Source organism: Homo sapiens, chromosome 6 (assembly GCF_000001405.40).
Source record: "Homo sapiens chromosome 6, GRCh38.p14 Primary Assembly".
NCBI classification, from domain to species: Eukaryota; Metazoa; Chordata; class Mammalia; order Primates; family Hominidae; genus Homo; species Homo sapiens.
Window position 1 is genome coordinate 109,227,734 of NC_000006.12, and position 19,854 is coordinate 109,247,587.

Genomic DNA, 19,854 nt, shown 5'->3' on the forward strand with positions numbered 1-19,854 from the left:
CATGATGGAGTAACACATGAGGGTTTCTTAGGGAAGAGGCCTTTTAATCATAATAAAACACAAGGTCTGCTTAAGAGCAAGTCACAGGCAGAGAGTGCCCTAAAGCAGCCCTGGAGGCCACACTGAGAAGGAAGAAATAGAGCATGAGAAGCCCTTCTGTTATCCTGGCCTGAGAACTTTACATCCTTACAGAGAAACTCTTAGAAGACTCCCCTTGACATTGCTATATGTACCTTTTTTGCCTCTTTTCTGTTTTCCAAGCTTCAAATGAAAAAAAAACTCAAAACAGAGGTAGAAAAACATTGGAAAGAGCTGAACAATAAAGAAATATTTTATCCCTACAAACACCTGCTTGCCCCTTAGTGCATTTGGTGTTTCTAGAACATATTTTTCTACAAAGTCTATAAAATTTCAATCCTGCCTAACAAAAGGCCAATAAGACAAAATTCATATTAACTTTCTTTCTTTGAGAATAAAGTTGAGAATGCTTATATTTTATTGGACTATTGTAGACACTCTTGTAATATTTTAATCTCAATCCCTAGAGAGTTTATTCCTGAAGATAGAGTTTAATATGAATTTTATCTTCTTAAAAATGCTAGATTGACAAAGGTGAAAAATAAAATCTATTTAGCTACAAAACAAGTCATTTTCTAAGCTAGTGTGACCTCTGACTTATGCCTGTTGTGTCTGTAAGTGTAAAATCTTACTCTTAACTGTTGTTCGTATGCACACAGTCTAGAGCAACAGTGGCCAGCAGAAATATAATGCAAGCCACATACATTATTTAAAATGTTCTAGTAGCTACATTTTAAAAAGTACAAAGAAACATGAAATTTTAAATAATATAATCTGTTTAGCCCAATGTCTATATTATCATTTCTACATATAATCAATATTAATAAATCATTGAGTGATTATACATTTTTTGTACTAAGTGTTTAAAATCTGGTGTATATTTTATATACAGATAACACATTTTAACTCAGACAAGCCACACTTCAGGGGCTTAACAGCCACATGTGGCTAGAGGCCACATGTACTGAACAGTTCAGCTTCAGATATTGGGATTTTTTTTTTTATTTTCCCAACCAGTCACTTAGAGTCCTACCTTCACTCAATCTTCAGGACACCCTTCTCTTTTGGGTCTCCTACCCTAAAAAGCACCCACCAACTCCTACTCCCTCACGACACACAGACTTCCTCTCAGATCTTCCTTTACCCCTCTGCCCTCCTCCTTGGGTTCTAGCTCATCAAGCCCAATTAGTTTGGCCCTCAGTGGAACTAGAGAGGTGAGTTAAGACACTTTTAATACAAACATGCTACAAAACAAGCACATCTTTCTCTTACTAGTATTGATCCAACCACAGCTGTGGTACGTTATTATGCTAATGGATATTTTTGAAAATGTTCTTACTAAAGAGCCCTCTCTGTCTCTCTGTTCTGGGTTTGGGTAGGAGATAGATATAAAGGAGGAGAGGATAGGCAAATACTGTCCTGCCATACTCATTGTAGGAGGAACTTCTCGGGGTAATGCATTTTATTTATATATATTTTTTGAGGTGGAGTTTTGCTGTTGTTGCCCAGGCTGGAGTGCAGTGGCGCAATCTGAGCTCACTGCAACCTCTGTCTCCTGTGTTCGAGTGATTCTCCTGCCTCAGCCTCCCGAGTAGCTGGGATTATGGGTGCCCACCCCCACACCCAGCTAATTTTTGTATTTTTAGTAGAGACAAGGTTTCACTAGGTTGGCCAGGCTGGTCTCAAACTCCTGACCTCAGGTGATCCACCCGCCTCGGCCTCCCAAAGTGCTGGGATTACAGGTGTGAGCTGACGCGCCCGGCCTTAATGCAATATTTCTTTCCTATGCTCTCATAAATGATAAGAAAAACAGTGCCTATTTTTGTTCTTAATAGCTCCCAGCTGCTATTACTTCAGTATGAGACACTCAAGGAAGTGGCCTTCTGTCTGTCTTTAATAGGACTACTTGGTTTAGCTACACCCCATGGGTGTGGCCTTGTCAATATTTACACCAGGATATCCAGCTCTGGACGGTGTGATTCTTTCCCCCAGAGGGGATGGGAGTCAGAGATGTTAATCTGTTGGGTTGAACTCACCAAGCCCAGGGCTGAGGCTGCTGGGAGCAAACCACTGGGCTTACCAGACCTCAGGAAGGCTCCTAAAATGGAGACCCCTTTTCCTGGGTCCAGTGAATTTGATCTCATGCTGAAAGTCTTGGGCTAATATTAATGAATGTTCACTCAACAACAATGCCAGAAGAAAAAGGCACCTACCATCTGTCTTGGACACTTTGCCACTCTATAAGCCTACTTAAAGGCATGTGGCAGAGTAGAAAGAGCCCCAGAATGAGAGCCAGCAGCCTTTACCTGGCTGTTGACCTTGATTGTGTCTTCTCAGGCATGGGGGCCTGATACCCTGTGGCATGTTCAGGATCTGCTGGGACTTGACGTGCTGGTAGCAGAGGTTGTTGTGAGGAAGCGGTAGGAGATGAGGCAGCAGAAAAGTGGGCCCGATCATGAAGGGTTAGGCTCTCCTTAGAGTGGGGGACTAATTCCAAGGTTGGTGGGAGAACAGAGAATTTTTTTTTTTTCTTGAGACAGAGTCTTGCTCTGTCACCCAGGCTGGAGTGCAGTGGCATGATCTCAGCTCACTGCAACCTCCACTTACTGAGTTCAAGTGATTCTCATGCCTCAGTCTGCCAAATAGCTGAGACTATACCATCATGCCCAGCTAATTTTTGTACTTTTAGTAGAGATGGAGTTTTACCATGTTGGCCAGGCTGGTCTCAAATTCCTGACCTCAAGTGATCCACCCGCCTCGGCCTGCCAAAGTGCTGCGATTGCAGGCATGAGCCACCGCGCCCAGCCCGGAGAACTCTTTTAAATGGGAGAATGGCTCTTTTCATTGGCTTGTAAATTTCCAGAGGATCTTTGCCCATATGTAATCACATTTATTCCCTTGCTTGTAGTCCTTCGTGAGTTTCCTGTTTGTCACAAGACAAAGTCCAGGCTCCTTGGTGAAGCTGACAATGTTGGGCACAATCTGGCTGCTGCTAACCTCTCAGACCTCATTTATCTCCACTGTCCCTATATGTCCATCCTTAGGGAGCTGGGCCTAGACCTCCCCTGAATGGGCAGAGCTATCCGTACTTCTGGGCTCCTCTGTCCCTCACCTCCCCTTTCCTTGGTAAATGTGCACTCTTATCCAGAGTCTGCTCAAATATCACCTTTCTGGGCCTTCCTTGACATCTCAATGCAGAGCTAAGTGCTTCTCGCCATGACTTTGTCTACTTCCATTATAGCACTGAGCACATTGCTGTGCTTGACTGTTGGCATGTTTGTTCCCACAGGCTGTGAGCCTATCACTCATCCATTCATTCACTCATTCCACAAATATTCTGACCAATAAATATACTAGGCACGGTTCCAGGCACTGGGATTTCAGCAGTGAACAAAATGGGCACAAATTCTGCCATCTTGAGACTTATTGCATGAAGAAATACAGACATTAAATAAATAAGTAACATATATAGAACGTTCAATGATTTGGCACCAAAGCTTCCATAGACTTCCTGAACAAATCTGGATGTATTTTAAAGGTGCAGCCAGCATGATTTTCAGATAGAGAAATCAAGTTTGATTCCAAAGCTTTGGCCTAACCATTTGGAAGTTTAGAGTTGCCATCAACTGAGACTTGGTTGAAGCAGATTTGTTGGGAAGATCTGGATCTCAGTACAGGACATGGAAAGTTTGAGATGCTTAACAAGATGTTCAGGTGGCAAAAGGTAGTAGAGAGCTGGATATATACTGATACATTGCAGGTATCAAATGTTTATTTGATAAAAGAAAAGTTCTGCCTATAACAGAATGGTAGCATGCTTACAAGAAGACCATGTACATGAAAGTGCTTTGCAAAGTTATCATGTTGTTCAAATGCAGAACAATTAGCTGTGATAATAATAACGTACTCTACAGACTAGAAAGAAAGGCAGAGTAGAAAATATATTTGATTTTCTTTTTAAAAGATTATAGCCAATAGACTGAGTCATTCACCCAACAAATCTTGATGGGGTTCTTAGGCAGAACTATTATTATCCAAAATTAATGCAAGATGACTTACAAAAAGGTAAACTAGTCGGAGAAATATTGTCTATATTGCCAAAAGGCCTAAAATTCACATTAACAAGTGATGGCAGAAGCCACTAGGGTGAAAGGAATGAATGATGGGCCACCAATTTTCCTATAGTTACTATATTCAGCAAATAGTTATCTTGGCATCGGTTAATTTTCAAACTAAAAACATATGAATCATTGCAAAGGTCATATTATTTCTTACCCAAACAGATAATTATTGCCCTCTTCCTTCTGCCACTCCTCCAAACATAATATTGAAGGATCAACTCTCTAGGCCACAAAACCATTAGAGGGAGGGTCTTCCACATGACTGTGGAAAAAATGAAAATAAACAGGAAATAAAGAAACATTAAAGTAACTGAGGCAATTTGGTCATCTGATCTTTAAAGTGTATCTCCTGTGGCATAAGCATGTATTTCAGAGACATGGGACTGAGGGAGGAAGACAGCAAATTATGGCAGAAAGAGAAGGAATATGTATGCCTATATAAAGGGTTTGGACAATGGGATGTGGATGGGAAGAGTGGAAAAATGACCACTAATATAGATGATGGCATTAAAGTTGGCATCTTGACAATACTATTGCTTTTCATCAGCTTCAGAACTTAATCCAATTGCCATTGCCTGAAAGACTTATAAAATTCTTCTGTACAAGAACTTTGGGAAAGGTCTTTTCCAATAAAGTGAATAAAGCATAACACATTAAGTTGTTTCTTTTTTCCTCAAAGGCAAGCTCATTTTACATAACAAGAGACAGGAGCTAAATGCTAATAGAAGCCAACATGGTAATTTATATATCTTAGCTGTTTAATTTTTTTATGGAACATGTCCTTTTCTCAGCATCTTTTCTATTTTCCACTGGTACCAATCATTTTGTAAGAAATCATAATTTCAGGTTGGACGCAGTGGGTCACGCCTGTAATCCCAGCACTTTGGGAGGCTGAGGCAGGTGGATCACTTGAGGTCAGGAGTTCAAGATCAGCCTGACCAACATGGTGAAACCCCATCTCTACCAAAACTACAAAAAATTAGCCAGGCATAGTGGTGCATGCCTGTAATCCTAGTTATTCAGAAGGCTGAGGCAGAATAGCTTGAACCCAGGAGGTGGAGGTTGCAGTGAGCCAAGGTTGCACCTCTGCACTCCAGCCTGGGTAACAGAGTGAGACACCATTTGAAAAAAAAAAAGATAATTTCATTTTTGGAATTCTAGTCAAAGGAAGCTACTAATTATTAAAAAGTTGTGCCAGGTGTGGTGGCTCACGCCTGTAATCCCAGCACTTTGGGAGGCTGAGGCAGGTGGATCATGAGGTCAGGAGATCGAGACCATCCTGGCCAACATGGTGAAACCCCGTCTCTACTAAAAATACAAAAATTAGCTGGGCATGGTGGTGGTGCGTGCCTGTAATCCCAGCTACTTGGGAGGCTGAGGCAGGAGAATTGCTTGAACCTGGGAGGCAGAGGTTGTGGTGAGCCAAGATTGTGCCACAGCACTCCAGCCTGGTGACAGAGCAAGACTCCGCCTCAAAAAAAAAAAAAAAAAAAAGTTGTATGCTTAAAGCATAGAAAAAGCAAAGCAAAACGAAAAACGCTGCTAGAGGAATGATGAATTATGAAGTATCCTTTTGATGAAATATTATGAACTATAACTATTATTTAGAAATGTTCACATTTACTTATTGGAAGGTTTCTATGTTTCTGCTTGAATGGTTAAGAAACAGCCCATAAAAACTAATTATACAGTCATAGAAGTGAAGGGACCCAAAGAGCGACCCCATCCATCTTTCTGATATTGGCAATTAACCATCTAAGCAGATGATAATCTGTCCTGTTTGTTAAGATTCCAGGAGTGTTCCTGTAGTACTACAGGCAAGGCCACATAAACAAAACAATTGATAGGTCTTCAGACAGCCAGGATATGATTGCTTAAAATTTATAGATAAATGGATTCTATACAACTGATTACTTAGCAAAGTTTTTATAAGAGTTAATAGATATAAGATGAAAGATTGGGAGCCAGTGGTTCCATAGCTTAAATGACTCATGAGTAACAACTAAGAAAATCAGATTGTTTTTCTTAAAATATAAAAATATACTATATATATATTTAAAAACAGAAAATAGGCCGGACGCTGTGGCTCGCACCTGTAATCCCAGCACTTTGGGAGGCCGAGGTGGGCAGATCGCCTGAGGTCAGGAGTTCGAGACCAGCCTGGCCAACATGGTGAAACCTTGTCTCTACAAAAAATACAAAAATTAGCTGGGCATGGTGGCATGTGCCTGTGGTCCCAGCTACTCTGGAGGCTGAGGCAGGAGAATCGCTTGAACCAGGGAGTTAGAGGTTGCAGTGAGCCGAGATCGTGCCACTGCACTCCAGCCTGGTGACAGAGCAAGACTCCGTCTCAAAAAAAAAAAAAAAAAACCCCAGAAAATAACAAATGTTGGTGAGGATGTGGAAAAACTGGAACCCTTGTGCACTGTTGGTAGAAATGTTAAATGGTGTAACTACTATGAAAAACAGTATGCAGATTCCTCAAACATTTAAAATAGAATTACTATATTATCCAGAAATTTTACTTCTGGGTATATGCTCAAAAGAATTGAAAGCAGGGGTTCAAAAAGATATTTGTACACCTATGTTTATAGCAGCATTATCCATAATAGCCAAAAGGTGGAAGCAACTCAAGTGTCTATCAACAGATGAAACAAAATGTGATAGTTCCATAGTCATTACGGGATATAATTCAGCCTGAAACCGGAAGGAAATTCTGACACATGCTGTAACATGTATGAATCTCGATGGGATTATGCTAAGTAAAATAGGCCAGTCACAAAAGGACATTACATGAGACACCTAGAGTAGTCAAATTCATAGAGACAGAAAGTAGAACGGTGGTTGCCAGGGGATCAGAGGATGGAAAAATGGGGAATTCTCGTTGGGTGGGTACAGATTTTCAGTTTTGCAAGATGAAAATAATTCTGGAGATGGGTGGTGATAGTTGCACAACAACATGAATGTACTTAATGTCACTAAATTGTACATGAAAAAATAAGATGGTAAATTTTATGTTATGTGTATTTTACAATAATAAGAATAGATAGATAGATCTATAGATAGGAAAGAGAGAGAGAGGAGAGAGAGAGAGAGAGAGAGAGATGATAGATATCTAGGCCAGTGTTTTTTAACCTCCTTTCCATTATGGCTTCCCCAACAAATAACCTTTTTCAACTTTTTTTTTTCCCCTACTCTCCCCCTACAAAGAAATATTAACACCAGAGATATGCCATAGATTTGCTTATGTGCAATGTGTGTATCTGTGCTTCATATATAAAAAGAATAAGATTTTTTTTGTCCTCCAAGAACCACTTTCCACCTGGGCATTATCCCCCCATATAGAATGTATGTATTAGGCTGTGGTGACATGAGATCAGAATCTATGAAGGCAAAACACAGGATTTTTGATGGGCATATGTTAAAAGCACAGGCATATGTTAAAAGCATATGTTAAAAGTAGAGATTACAAATCATAGACTCAAAGAAACCTATATGCGCAAATATAAAAACCATTCATACATTCTTTTATTTAACAGATATTTTCTAAGCACCTACTATGTGTTAGGCCCTGTGCTAGGCAATGAGAATAAAATGATGAACAAAAATAGACATGTTCCTTACCCTTACAGTACTTTGTAATCCAGTGGGTGAGATAAATATTGGTCAAAAATCACACAAATGAATGTAAAACAGGGACATCAAGTTCCTCAAAAGAGAGACTGAGAGCTCCTTGGTACTATAGGGAGGCTGGGGCAGGAGGGTTTTAAGGAAGTGACGATTGAGCTGAGGTTGGAAAATGAAAAGTCTTTAATTAGGTAAAAAGGAGAGGGAGACCTTTCCACAGAGTGGGGACAGCCTGTGCAAAGGACCTGTGGCCAGAGGGATCATGGCACCTATAAGAAACCAAAAGACAGGAGTGGTTGGGGCACAGACACGAGGTGGAAGGTGATGCACAATGGAACTTAGCTCTGAGTTTCTCAGCCTTGGCACGATTGATTTTTGGGGCCTGATAATTCTTTGCTGTGAGAAGCTCTCCTGTCCATTACAGGATATTTAACAGCATCCCTGGCCTCTACCCAGATGCCAGCAGTACCTCCCACTAAGTCATGACAACCAGAAGTATCTCCAGACATGGCCAAATGTCCTCTGGAGGGCAAAATCACTCTCAGCTGAAAAACACTGGACTAGAGGGATAGGCATGGGCCAGATTGTATGGCCCTGTTAAGGAGTTTTGCTTTATTCTGTGGCCCATGGGAAGCCTCTTAGGGATAGAAAAGGGGGAAGGGGGAATGACACAATCAGAATTGCATTTGTAAAAGTTCCCCAGCCAGCAGTGAGTAAAATGGAGAGGAGGGAAAGCCCAGGCCAGAGGAGTCATGGATAGACCATTTAAGAGGCTAGGCCAGTTTAGAAGCTCCTAGACTAGTCCTCATGAAATATAATAGCTTGGACTAGGGTAGTGGGTAGTGGAGATGGGAAGAAGTGAAACGGGAGAGTTCCCTGATTTCCCCTCGTAGAATGTGTGACAGGGATGTGGCTCGCCTGTTTCATGGCCCTGCCGCTCAAACCCCAAGGAGGAGCATGCAGACAGGCAGGTGCAGAGGCCAGGGCAAGTGCTTTGTGCTCTCAGCGCCACTTAGTGTCTAGCGGTGGGTGCCTGCAACCCGTGTTACAAAGCCCTTTCAGCTTTGCTGTCTGCAGATGGCTTGAGTGCTAATCAGCTCAATGGACCCTCTGCCTTATCACAAGGGCAGACGGCCAGTGCGACAGCCTTCTGTATCCCGAGCTCTTGCCCAGTGTCCCGGAAGAATCGGATCACACGCAGGCTTGAAGGATGAATGCAAGGTTTTATTGAGTGGTGGAGGTGGCTCTCAGTGAGATGGATGGGAAGCTAGAGGTGGAGGGGTGGGGGAGATAATCTTCTGAAGTTCAGCTGTTTTCGGCAGAACTCCTCTGGACGTTCAGAGGCCTCTTCCCTCCTTCTCTGTTGTGCTGCTCTGCTTTCTGCCTCTCTCTGCTGCTCTGTTCCTCTGTTCCTCTCAACATTCAGCTTCTTGCGTGTGTGCCCGCTAAGGTCTCAGGTTTATATGGGCACAGGATGGTGGGCCAGAGTGGTCTTGGAAAATGCAACATTCGGGCACAAAAGCAGGAGTACCTGTTCTCCCTTAGGTCTGAGGGCATAGGCCCAAGGGTGGAACCCTCACCCTTCTCTACTCAGCACTTCCCTGACCCACCTCCTATATCAGAAGTGGATGTATTTGAGAGACAGGAAGTAAAACTAACAGAACTTGGTGATAGATTGGACAAGTAGGGCGAGGCAGAAAGAGATGTCGTGAATGATTCATGCTAGAGGAAGTGGATGGGTGGTGGTGCTATTTAGTAAAATCGGCTGGAGATAGCCTGGGTTTGCGGGGGAAGATTTAATGATTTGATCATTGTTAAAATTGAGGGGGCTTTGAGATGCCCAGGAGCAGTTGCCAAATAGGTAATTGGATGTGCGGGTCCGGAGCTCTAGGGGGTCTGGATTGGAGGCATAAACTGGGGAGCAAATGGTCTAAAGGTGGTAATCTCAGCTATGAAAATGTCTGCCACCTCCTAGGGAAGGAACAGAGGAGGAAAAGAGGAGGTCCTAGGAGGCGGCTTGAGAGTGGCCATCATTTAAGGACTTGGTAGAGAAAAATAAATACACTTCACAGTGTCAGACAGAATGACCGGAAACTAGGCAAAATCAGGGAGAACGTGGAGTCCCAGATGCCCGGAGAAGAGAGTGAGTCAAGAATCAGGAAGCACTAAATTATATCAGATGCTCCTGAGAGATTACGTAAGATGATGAAAGAAAGTTTGTTGCATGTAGAGCAGTGGTCATTGTTGGTCTTAGTGAGGGTGGTTTGGGTGGCTCGATGGAGCCAAGGGCCAGATGGGAATGGGTTGAAGAGTGGGAGGTGAAGAAATAGAAATGGAGATTGTAGATAACATCTTGGGAGATTGGACAGTGAGGGGGAGGAGAGCCACACAGTGGAACCTGGGGAAGGGTGTGAGGAAGTTTCACAATGAGAGGGACGTGTGCACATTTCAGTGTCAAGAGTCCAGCGGAGAGGAGTGGGATATCCATGAAGGAGCAGGGATGCTGCTGAGGTGGGAGGCAGCGGCCCTAGAGAAGGGGGGCAACACTGTCCTCCACTGTGCGGAGGAAGGAGGAGGGGAGAGATGTGAGCCCTGGGGAGGCGGCGGAGAGTGGCGCGCAGAGGAGCTCCTCCTGGGAGTAAGAGGAGACTACGCCTGGGAGGGAGGGATTCCGAGGCTTGAGGAGAGTGGAGGTTGGAAATTGTGAAAATTATTATTAAAATAACGATTCTCAGGAAGCAGCAGATACTCAGTTTTCTAAGAAAAATAACATTATGATTGAAATACTTCTTACTTGTATTCGATTCCTAGGATTATCAAAACAAAGTACCACAAACTGTGTCTCACAATGACAGAAATTTATTCTCTCACAGTCTGGAGCCACAAATCCAAAATCCAGGTGTCAGCAGGACCGTGCTTTCTCTGAAGGTTCTAGAGGTGATAGTTCCTTGCCTCTTTCAGCTCCTGGTAGTTGCTGGCAACCCTTGGCAATCCTTGGCATTCCTTGACTCACCCTAGTCTCTACCTCTGTCTTCACATGACCTTCTCCCTTACGTGTCTGTCTCCAAATTTCGTAAGGATCACAGTCATTGAATTAGGCCCACTCTCATCCAGTATGACTTCATCTTAACTTGATTACATCTGCAAAGACCTATTTTCAAATAAGTTCTCATTCACAGGTTCCAGGTAGACATGAATTTTGGGGGACACTATTCAACTTAGTACATTAGTAAGCCATGAAACTGTGCTAACACATTTTAGAAGTACTTATAGAATTACAAGAAAAATAGTTTTAACCTAACATTTAAGGATTCCAAGTGCCTTACACTCATAGAGTCACATACTCCTGGCAGCTAACATAGTCTATAGTGTCTCCACAGTCCCCATGTTACAGATGAGGAAACGGAGGCTGGGAATAGCTGAATGACCTGCCCAGGATGAGATCCTGGCAGAGCCAGAGCCTGAACCCAGGCATTCTGACTCCAGAGACCACTCTAGGCTCTATTTCCTACCTTTCTCCAGTTGCTACTGAATTTGTCAGAAAAACAAACTAATCAGCTAGTTATCCACCTCAGGAACTACCTCTTCCTGCCAATATTCTTTGTTAATATGTTTTCTGCATACAGCTTTTTATACATTCAGAATATTTACAGCTTCATACTGGCAGCCCACTGTGTGGGAGCAGAAGCCTGCTGCTTGTCCATGTGGGATGGCAAAATATAGCTCTCCTTTTTCCAGTAACATCTGGGCTTGGCTTTCTTTCTCCAGGTCCACAGCGTCCAATTCATGGAGTTCTCGGAAGTGGAGAACCAGGATGACTACTACAGCACAGAAGCTGGCTGCATCCACACCCAGGACCAGCAAGGGGTGCATGTCATGTATGAGGAAGCCTTGAGTGATCTCAAGGAACTAGAGGCAGAGTTGCTGCTTGTGGCTAGCCATTACATTGAGAAAGAAAGGGGTGAGAAGTCAGATTTAAAAAAAAAAAAAAATCAACTGCCTAAATAAACAAAAAACACTAAGGGCTCCTTTTTAATACTCTCCACCCCAAAATATAAACACATATCCAATAGTATGTGAAAACTCAATAAGCGCACACTTCCCCCACCCCTAAAATGCATTCACTTTAGGAGAGACACAGTTCTGTTTCCAGCTCAAGCCCTGCTTCTGATAGAGATGGTGACTACTCTTTCAGGGCCGGGTTGTAATTCTTGCTGTGATTCAGACTCTGTTTGTTGACCAGGGACATTTCTTTTCTTTCTTTTTTTTTTTTGTTGTTGCAGCAGGAAGTTTCCTTTATAAATGGAGAGTTGGATGATACACAGTTCTAGCGTAAGGCCTCAGTCACTGGGCCCCAGGAGACAGAAAGGAGCAGGGCTGAGAGGGACGACATGCTCCAGGGCTCATGTCACACTGATATGTGCGCCAGGAATGACCGCCCATGTACTCCTAAAGTTCAACCCACCCACCAGTTCAGTCAAGAATTATGCTTTTAATTCTTCATGTTTGGCCACTGAAGATCAAATCCACCATGATAACAGGATTTCAGTACAACAGGCTCTTTCCAGTTACGACAGACAAAGATGTCCAGGCTCTTGATAAGAAACAAAAGTTCCTTTGACTTCTCTTGCGAGGACCGAAGAGATAAATGTTTTCTTTGTGATCTGTTGAAATGTTTATATAGACTTGAAAAAACAACTAACAGTCATTCTGTGCTCTGGTTCCCTGGAAGGTTTCTCATGATCTCCCCTTCAATAGCTAGAGGGCTTGTGTGTCAGGGAACAAAGAATTAAGACACTTTAAGCGATAAAAATCCTAGTGCAACACTCAGAGGCAGATCGTGGGCTTGAGGGGGCCGGAGGGGTGCGAGGCAGGTGCTTTGACTGAGGAGCAGGTGCTGCCTTCTGGGAAAGCCTAGTGGAGACAGAAGCAGGAGCAGGAAGCCCTGCCAGGGAAGGCCCAGTTTCTTCCTTGCTCTCCTGAGGTACAAGGGACAGCACGGCCCCTGCATTTTCATTTCTCAGGGCCAAAGACCTGACCTCTGACCCTCTACCCACTCTGGTGACCTGCACGCTAAATTGGGTGGTTTCTGACTAAAACAGGCTTAAGCCAAGAATTGGGATTTTACTCCCAGGGGCATTTCTGCGTCACCCACTGGGTGCAGGGGATGTGGTGCAGGACCCTGAAGGAAGGAAAGTAAGCAAGTGAAACAAATGACTTTTCTAAGTGGTAGACCTTGAGGAAACTGCATTTAGCAGCAGAGACAGCCCTGAGTTCCTAACAGGAAACCACTAGGATGCAAGAACATCTGGCTAGGAAAATGCCAGACAAGCCCCAGAGGAAGAAATCATTACTCAGGGTAATCAAGTAACCCATAACCTGTATTTTCTCTTCCTTTTGGCATCACTCAAATCGATCCAATTTTAGAAATGAATGAGGTAAGAATATTCTTTTGGGATACTATGACAGCATTGGAATTACACTTGCAAAGAGCTTAGAATTTCTAGACACATTGCAATACCTAAAGGGAAACTTAATCAGGGTTTGTGCTATTTTGTAATATGTGTAGACTGTAATTAAAGATAATTCACATTCATATTGTTATAAAATGCTGCTCAAAGAAAGTTTGACAACTAACTTTTCAGATCCTAGACAGAATTAATTTGATATAGGATTGAACTCTTTGTCCTGTCTTTGCCATTGGTATCTGAATCATAGGACGCAATGATGGCATCCAACATTCCAGGGTATTTAATTTCAGCCCTTAGCTTTTATCTTTACTGGTTATCCTACAAACCAATGCACCATTTGGTCCATATTAATTTATAATAGCATGCAACTATTTCTAGCTGCTAAGAATTTAACTGGACTGAGACACTTAGTCAGTAGTCATTTAACCACATGGGCATTTTTCAATTGAGCTGGTAAATGTATAGTCATCTATTGTGAAATGATTTCCCAACTGTTGCTACGGAAGTTCTTGATCATCTTTCTCTTGCTTAGTACCCATTAGATATGTGATAATTATTGAGCTTAAATTTCAGCACATGAAAGTATCTTATCTTTGAATATTTAATTCTGAAATACAATAGTTAAAAATTTAAAGCAATAATAATACCAGTAGTGAAAAGTAACGTGAACAAAGTTAAAAAAAATCAGCTGAATAATGAAAATTAACTTCATTGATTTAAGTTAGTAATTAACATAATTAAGGAATATCTTGGAAACGTTTCTGAAAATTTTCGACTTGGTTCACAATGATGGAAATAGCAAGTCAAACTAAGTTTGTTGTTAAACCCCCAGGGGTTTGTTTTTAGAGAAGGAGAAATGTATACTTTGCCTTTAAATTGTGGGTTTAAGGACATTTTAGCATAGATTTCTTGTTAACTAAATTTTGACTCTATTTCTAAGATTAGTCTTTGAAACTGAATTTTAAAAATAAAAACAAAAGCTCCTGTCGACTTAGAAGTCAACAAGTATGAAGTCAGGCTTTGTCCCAGGGACTGGTTCAGTATTTCTGTTTCTGAGATGGAGCTGATAATCCAAGGGGCACATTTCTAATTGGAACAGGTTCCTTGGAAGCCCTGTCTCTAAACATTCTCACCCTCTTTTCTCCCAGGTCACAAAGTGGGCAGCCAGCCAAAGAGTGGCCAGGAGTGGGGATGGGCCCATGCAGATGTGGACAGATTTGCTGTGCTGTATGACACGTGGACTTGGGAAGCAGCTCTTCTGGAAAACAAGCGCCAGGTATTCTTGCCTAGGAGACAAAATGTCTGCTAAAAAAACATTCTTACAAAATCCAGTCTTTTTTCTGTTTTTTGTTTGTTTTTGTAAAACCCAGTTAGACTTTTAGAAAAGCTCTCAACCAAGAGAATAATTATTTTATTTAAATAATCTCAGCTAATTATAAGGATGTAATACATTTTATTTTCTTTACTGAGGTTCATCACAAAAAACAAAATGTGAAAGATACTTCTTTATCTTACAGGTATTATTTGTTAGAGGGCTACGTAATTCCTTCTTATAATATGTATGTTTTTAGTGAGAATGAATGATGATTTCATTCATGCTCATTGTGCAGTCACAGGGACAATGCTCACTTTGCTAATTACAGACAAATTGACCTGATCATGGCCTTTAGAAGCGTATGCCACATGTGGGTAGGTGAAAGCAATTGGACAGGGTGCTGAGTGCAATGTTATGAGGGTGAGTTTAAAGCAATGAAACAGCAAGTTACTAAATCATCACTGTATCACGAATGGTTCATATCCCAATAATGAATGAAACACTGCAGGTTTACTGTTCTTCATTTGTGCCCTTAGCATGGATTATGAGCCCTTCTAATAATCACCAATTGTTAGGCATTTACTTACCAAATATGAAGTATTTACTCCGCCAGGGACTGTTCCAGGCATTCAGGGACCTATAGATAACTAAGTGAAAATGATCTTTATCTTTAAGGAATTTATCATCTATAAAAGTTGATTCAATCTCCAAGCAAAAATTATAATCTAGTTACTAACAGCTTATAATTGAATACATTCATGAGTCATGGGGACTCTGCAGAGAGAGAGATTTGTCCTGGGGGAGGGGAGCACTGTCCGATGGAAGAAATGCTAGAAAGCCTTTCCAGAGGAATAGATATTTAATCTTGATACTAAAACATGAGTAAGATATTGTCTGGCAGGGAAGAAAAGATTCTTAAGCAGACGAAATGGCATTAGAATGTCAGGGCAATGTAAATGGGAAGGACCAGCTTGGGGGATTTTATTTTGAGAAATAAAATCTTACCTTCTTGGAGGATGGTAGGAAGACTGTTATGGCTGGGATGTAAAGGCATGATGGATGGCAACAAGCCACACATGTGTTTTGGGTGCAGCCTGTAAAAGACCTACTAGTTATATTATTTTAGAGTTTGTCTTACAAACAAAGAAGAGCCATTAGTGAGTTTCCATAGAGAGAAATATGATCATAGCTGTGTTTTTAACAGCTATCTTGGGTGTAAGTGAGAGAATGGATTGGAATAGAGAGCCCCTGAGAAAAGAAGTGCAGTTGTTGCAACAGTGACCTGAAAAATTAGGAGGGGACATGCAATGACAATAGAAGAATAGAAAGGCAGAGAGGCGGTGAGAATAGGAAGGAGGAACAGACCTGAGAATACTTTGCAGAAGTGGAAATGGCAGGATTTGAAGACTGGATCTGGAAGTTGGGGCGAGAGAGTAAGGGTGGAATTTAAACAACTTCCTGAGGATTAGGGAGGAGGCTATTAACTGAAACTGAACCCAGGAAGAGGAAGAGTGTCTTTAGACAGGAAAATAACGTAGGCCCTAGGACAACAAGGCATTTGAGGGGGTTTGCTGAAACTCAGATGTGAATGTTTTGTGGGGAGCTACAGGTTTGAAGCTCAGGAACAGGTATGAGCTGAGGTATGAATGCAGAGGTTGAACCACAATGATGAATCAAAACAACTGGGAGAAGCTAGAGGTGTCTGAAATGAAGCCCTAAGTAATGTACCTACTTTTTTTTTTCTTTTTGAGATAGTATCTTGCTCTGTCACCTAGACTGGAGTGCAGTGGCACGATCTCAGCTCACTGCAACCTTTGCCTCCCAGGTTCAGGCGATTCTCATGCCTCAGCCTCCTGAGTAGCTGGGATTACAGGTGCCCGCCACCATGCCTGGCTAATGTTTTGTATTTTTAGTAGAGACAGGGTTTCACCATTTTGGCCAGGCTGGTCTCAAACTCCTGACCTCAAGTGATCCACCTGCCCTGGCCTCCCAAAATGCTGGGATTACAGGCATGAGCCACCACACCCGAACCCTGAGTAATATACCTACATTTAAGGGGCAGGTCATGAAACAAGAAGCAGTGAAACTAAATAGACCAGAGAAACAAGGAAGAAATAGTATTGTGGGAACCAACAGAAAAATAAGTTTTAATTAGGAGGGGGTGGTTACTTGTGGAGTTCTGTGAAACGTCAAGAAAGGAACTCCTAAAAACCAAGCAGCTTGGTCAGGTGGTCATTGGCAGCATTGCAGGACTCTTTCAGGGGCATGGTAGGGGTGGAAACCAGGTTATAGTGCACTATGATGTGGTCAGAAGATGGGGAAATGGCAGTGTTTTCTTTGAATTGTTTTTCTAGTAGAATAGATGCTTCACCATTTCATCTACTCTCTGGTTGGTCTGTTACTCCTAGAGATGTAGGTCACCCACCCTTTGGAAAACAATTGGCTGGGCTTAAATAGCGCAAGCCTTGGACTTTGAAAAAATGTTCCTCTTTTCAATGATAACTGGCTTCTACAGCCTTTGTCTGGAGGCTTAATCTGCCCATCAGAACCTTAACCAACTGAGTGAGAGATTTAGATGCACAGTGTAGTAATGGAATGGCTGTATGAAATATAAATAAGACAGGATCCTTAAACTCAACAAGTTTATCAGTCCAGGCGTGAATTTTTTTTTTTTTTTTTTTTTTTGAGACGGAGTCTCACGCTGTCGCCCAAGCTGGAGTTCAGTGGCACAATCTGGGCTCACTGCAAGCTCCGCCTCCCGGGCTCACGCCATTCTCCTGCCTTAGCCTCCCAAGTAGCTGGGACTACAGGCGCCTGCCACCATGCCCGGCTAATTTTTTTTTTATTTTTTTCTTTTCCTCAGTATAATTTTCTTTTTTTTTTATTATTATACTTTAAGTTTTAGGGTACATGTGCATATTGTGCAGGTTAGTTACATATGTATACATGTGCCATGCTGGTGCGCTGCACCCACTAACTCGTCATCTAGCATTAGGTATATCTCCCAATGCTATCCCTCCCCCCTCCCCCCACCCCACCACAGTCCCCAGAGTGTGATATTCCCCTTCCTGTGTCCATGTGATCTCATTGTTCAATTCCCACCTATGAGTGAGAATATGCGGTGTTTGGTTTTTTGTTCTTGTGATAGTTTTCTGAGAATGATGATTTCCAATTTCATCCATGCCCCTACAAAGGACATGAACTCATCATTTTTTATGCCTGCATAGTATTCCATGTTGTATATGTGCCACATTTTCTTAATCCAGTCTATCATTGTTGGACATTTGGCTTGGTTCCAAGTCTTTGCTATTGGGAATAATGCCGCAATAAACATACGTGTGCATGCGTCTTTATAGCAGCATGATTTATAGTCCTTTGGGTATATACCCAGTAATGGGATGGCTGGGTCAAATGGTATTTCTAGTTCTAGATCCCTGAGGAATTGCCACACCGACTTCCACAATGGTTGAACTAGTTTACCGTCCCACCAACAGTGTAAAAGTGTTCCTATTTCTCCACATCCTCTCCAGCACCTGTTGTTTCCTGACTTTTTAATGATTGCCATTCTAACTGGTGTGAGATGGTATCTCATTGTGGTTTTGATTTGCATTTCTCTGATGGCCAGTGATGATGAGCATTTTTTCATGTGTTTTTTGGCTGCATAAATGTCATCTTTTGAGAAGTGTCTGCTCATGTCCTTCGCCCACTTTTTGATGGGGTTGTTTGTTTTTTTCTTGTAAATTTGTTTGAGTTCATTGTAGATTCTGGATATTAGCCCTTTGTCAGATGAGTAGGTTGCGAAAATTTTCTCCCATTTTGTAGGTTGCCTGTTCACTCTGATGGTAGTTTCTTTTGCTGTGCAGAAGCTCTTTAGTTTCATTAGATCCCATTTGTCAATTTTGTCTTTTGTTGCCATTGCTTTTGGTGTTTTGGACATGAAGTCCTTGCCCATGCCTATGTCCTGAATGGTAATACCTAGGTTTTCTTCTAGGGTTTTTATGGTTTTAGGTCTAACGTTTAAGTCTTTAATCCATCTTGAATTGATTTTTGTATAAGGTGTAAGGAAGGGATCCAGTTTCAGCTTTCTACATATGGCTAGCCAGTTTTCCCAGCACCATTTATTAAATAGGGAATCCTTTCCCCATTGCTTGTTTTTCTCAGGTTTGTCAAAGATCAGATAGTTGTAGATATGTGGCGTTATTTCTGAGGGCTCTGTTCTGTTCCATTGATCTATATCTCTGTTTTGGTACCAGTACCATGCTGTTTTGGTTACTGTAGCCTTGTAGTATAGTTTGAAGTCAGGTAGTGTGATGCCTCCAGCTTTGTTCTTTTGGCTTAGGATTGCCTTGGCGATGCGGGCTCTTTTTTCGTTCCATATGAACTTTAAAGTAGTTTTTTCCAATTCTGTGAAGAAAGTCATTGGTAGCTTGATGGGGATGGCATTGAATCTGTAAATTACCTTGGGCAGTATGGCCATTTTCACGATATTGATTCTTCCTACCCATGAGCATGGAATGTTCTTCCATTTGTTTGTATCCTCTTTTATTTCCTTGAGCAGTGGTTTGTAGTTCTCCTTGAAGAGGTCCTTCACATCCCTTGTAAGTTGGATTCCTAGGTATTCTATTCTCTTTGAAGCAATTGTGAATGGGAGTTCACTCATGATTTGGGTCTCTGTTTGTCTGTTATTGGTGTATAAGAATGCTTGTGATTTTTGTACATTGATTTTGTATCCTGAGACTTTGCTGAAGTTGCTTATCAGCTTAAGGAGATTTTGGGCTGAGACAATGGGGTTTTCTAGATATACAATCATGTCGTCTGCAAACAGGGACAATTTGACTTCCTCTTTTCCTAATTGAATACCCTTTATTTCCTTCTCCTGCCTAATTGCCCTGGCCAGAACTTCCAACACTATGTTGAATAGGAGTGGTGAGAGAGGGCATCCCTGTCTTGTGCCAGTTTTCAAAGGGAATGCTTCCAGTTTTTGCCCATTCAGTATGATGTTGGCTGTGGGTTTGTCATAGATAGCTCTTATTATTTTGAAATATGTCCCATCAATACCTAATTTATTGAGAGTTTTTAGCATGAAGGGTTGTTGAATTTTGTCAAAGGCTTTTTCTGCATCTATTGAGATAATCATGTGGTTTTTGTCTTTGGCTCTGTTTATATGCTGGATTACATTTATTGATTTGCGTATATTGAACCAGCCTTGCATCCCAGGGATGAAGCCCACTTGATCATGGTG

At 41.9% G+C, this 19,854-nt stretch overlaps 1 pseudogene across 1 annotated transcript in view, besides 1 other annotated feature; it reads left to right on the forward strand.

Moving 5' to 3' along the window:
- The window catches only part of CCDC162P (coiled-coil domain containing 162, pseudogene), a 189,118-nt pseudogene that overhangs the window by 61,903 nt on the left and 107,361 nt on the right, over positions 1 to 19,854 (forward strand). The window contains exons 15-16 of the transcript NR_152435.1: positions 11,595 to 11,787; positions 14,446 to 14,573. The product of NR_152435.1 is annotated as a coiled-coil domain containing 162, pseudogene (transcript). The remainder of the gene's footprint in view (positions 1 to 11,594; positions 11,788 to 14,445; positions 14,574 to 19,854) is intronic.
- Positions 13,855 to 15,054: an enhancer, noted in NCBI's record as "MED14-independent group 3 enhancer chr6:109562791-109563990 (GRCh37/hg19 assembly coordinates)". NCBI's record gives its function as "activates an origin of replication core promoter dependent on BRD2, BRD4, P300/CBP and CDK7 cofactors, and independent of MED14, by STARR-seq in HCT116 cells {active_cell/tissue: HCT116}" and the evidence as "EXISTENCE:reporter gene assay evidence [ECO:0000049][PMID:35650434]".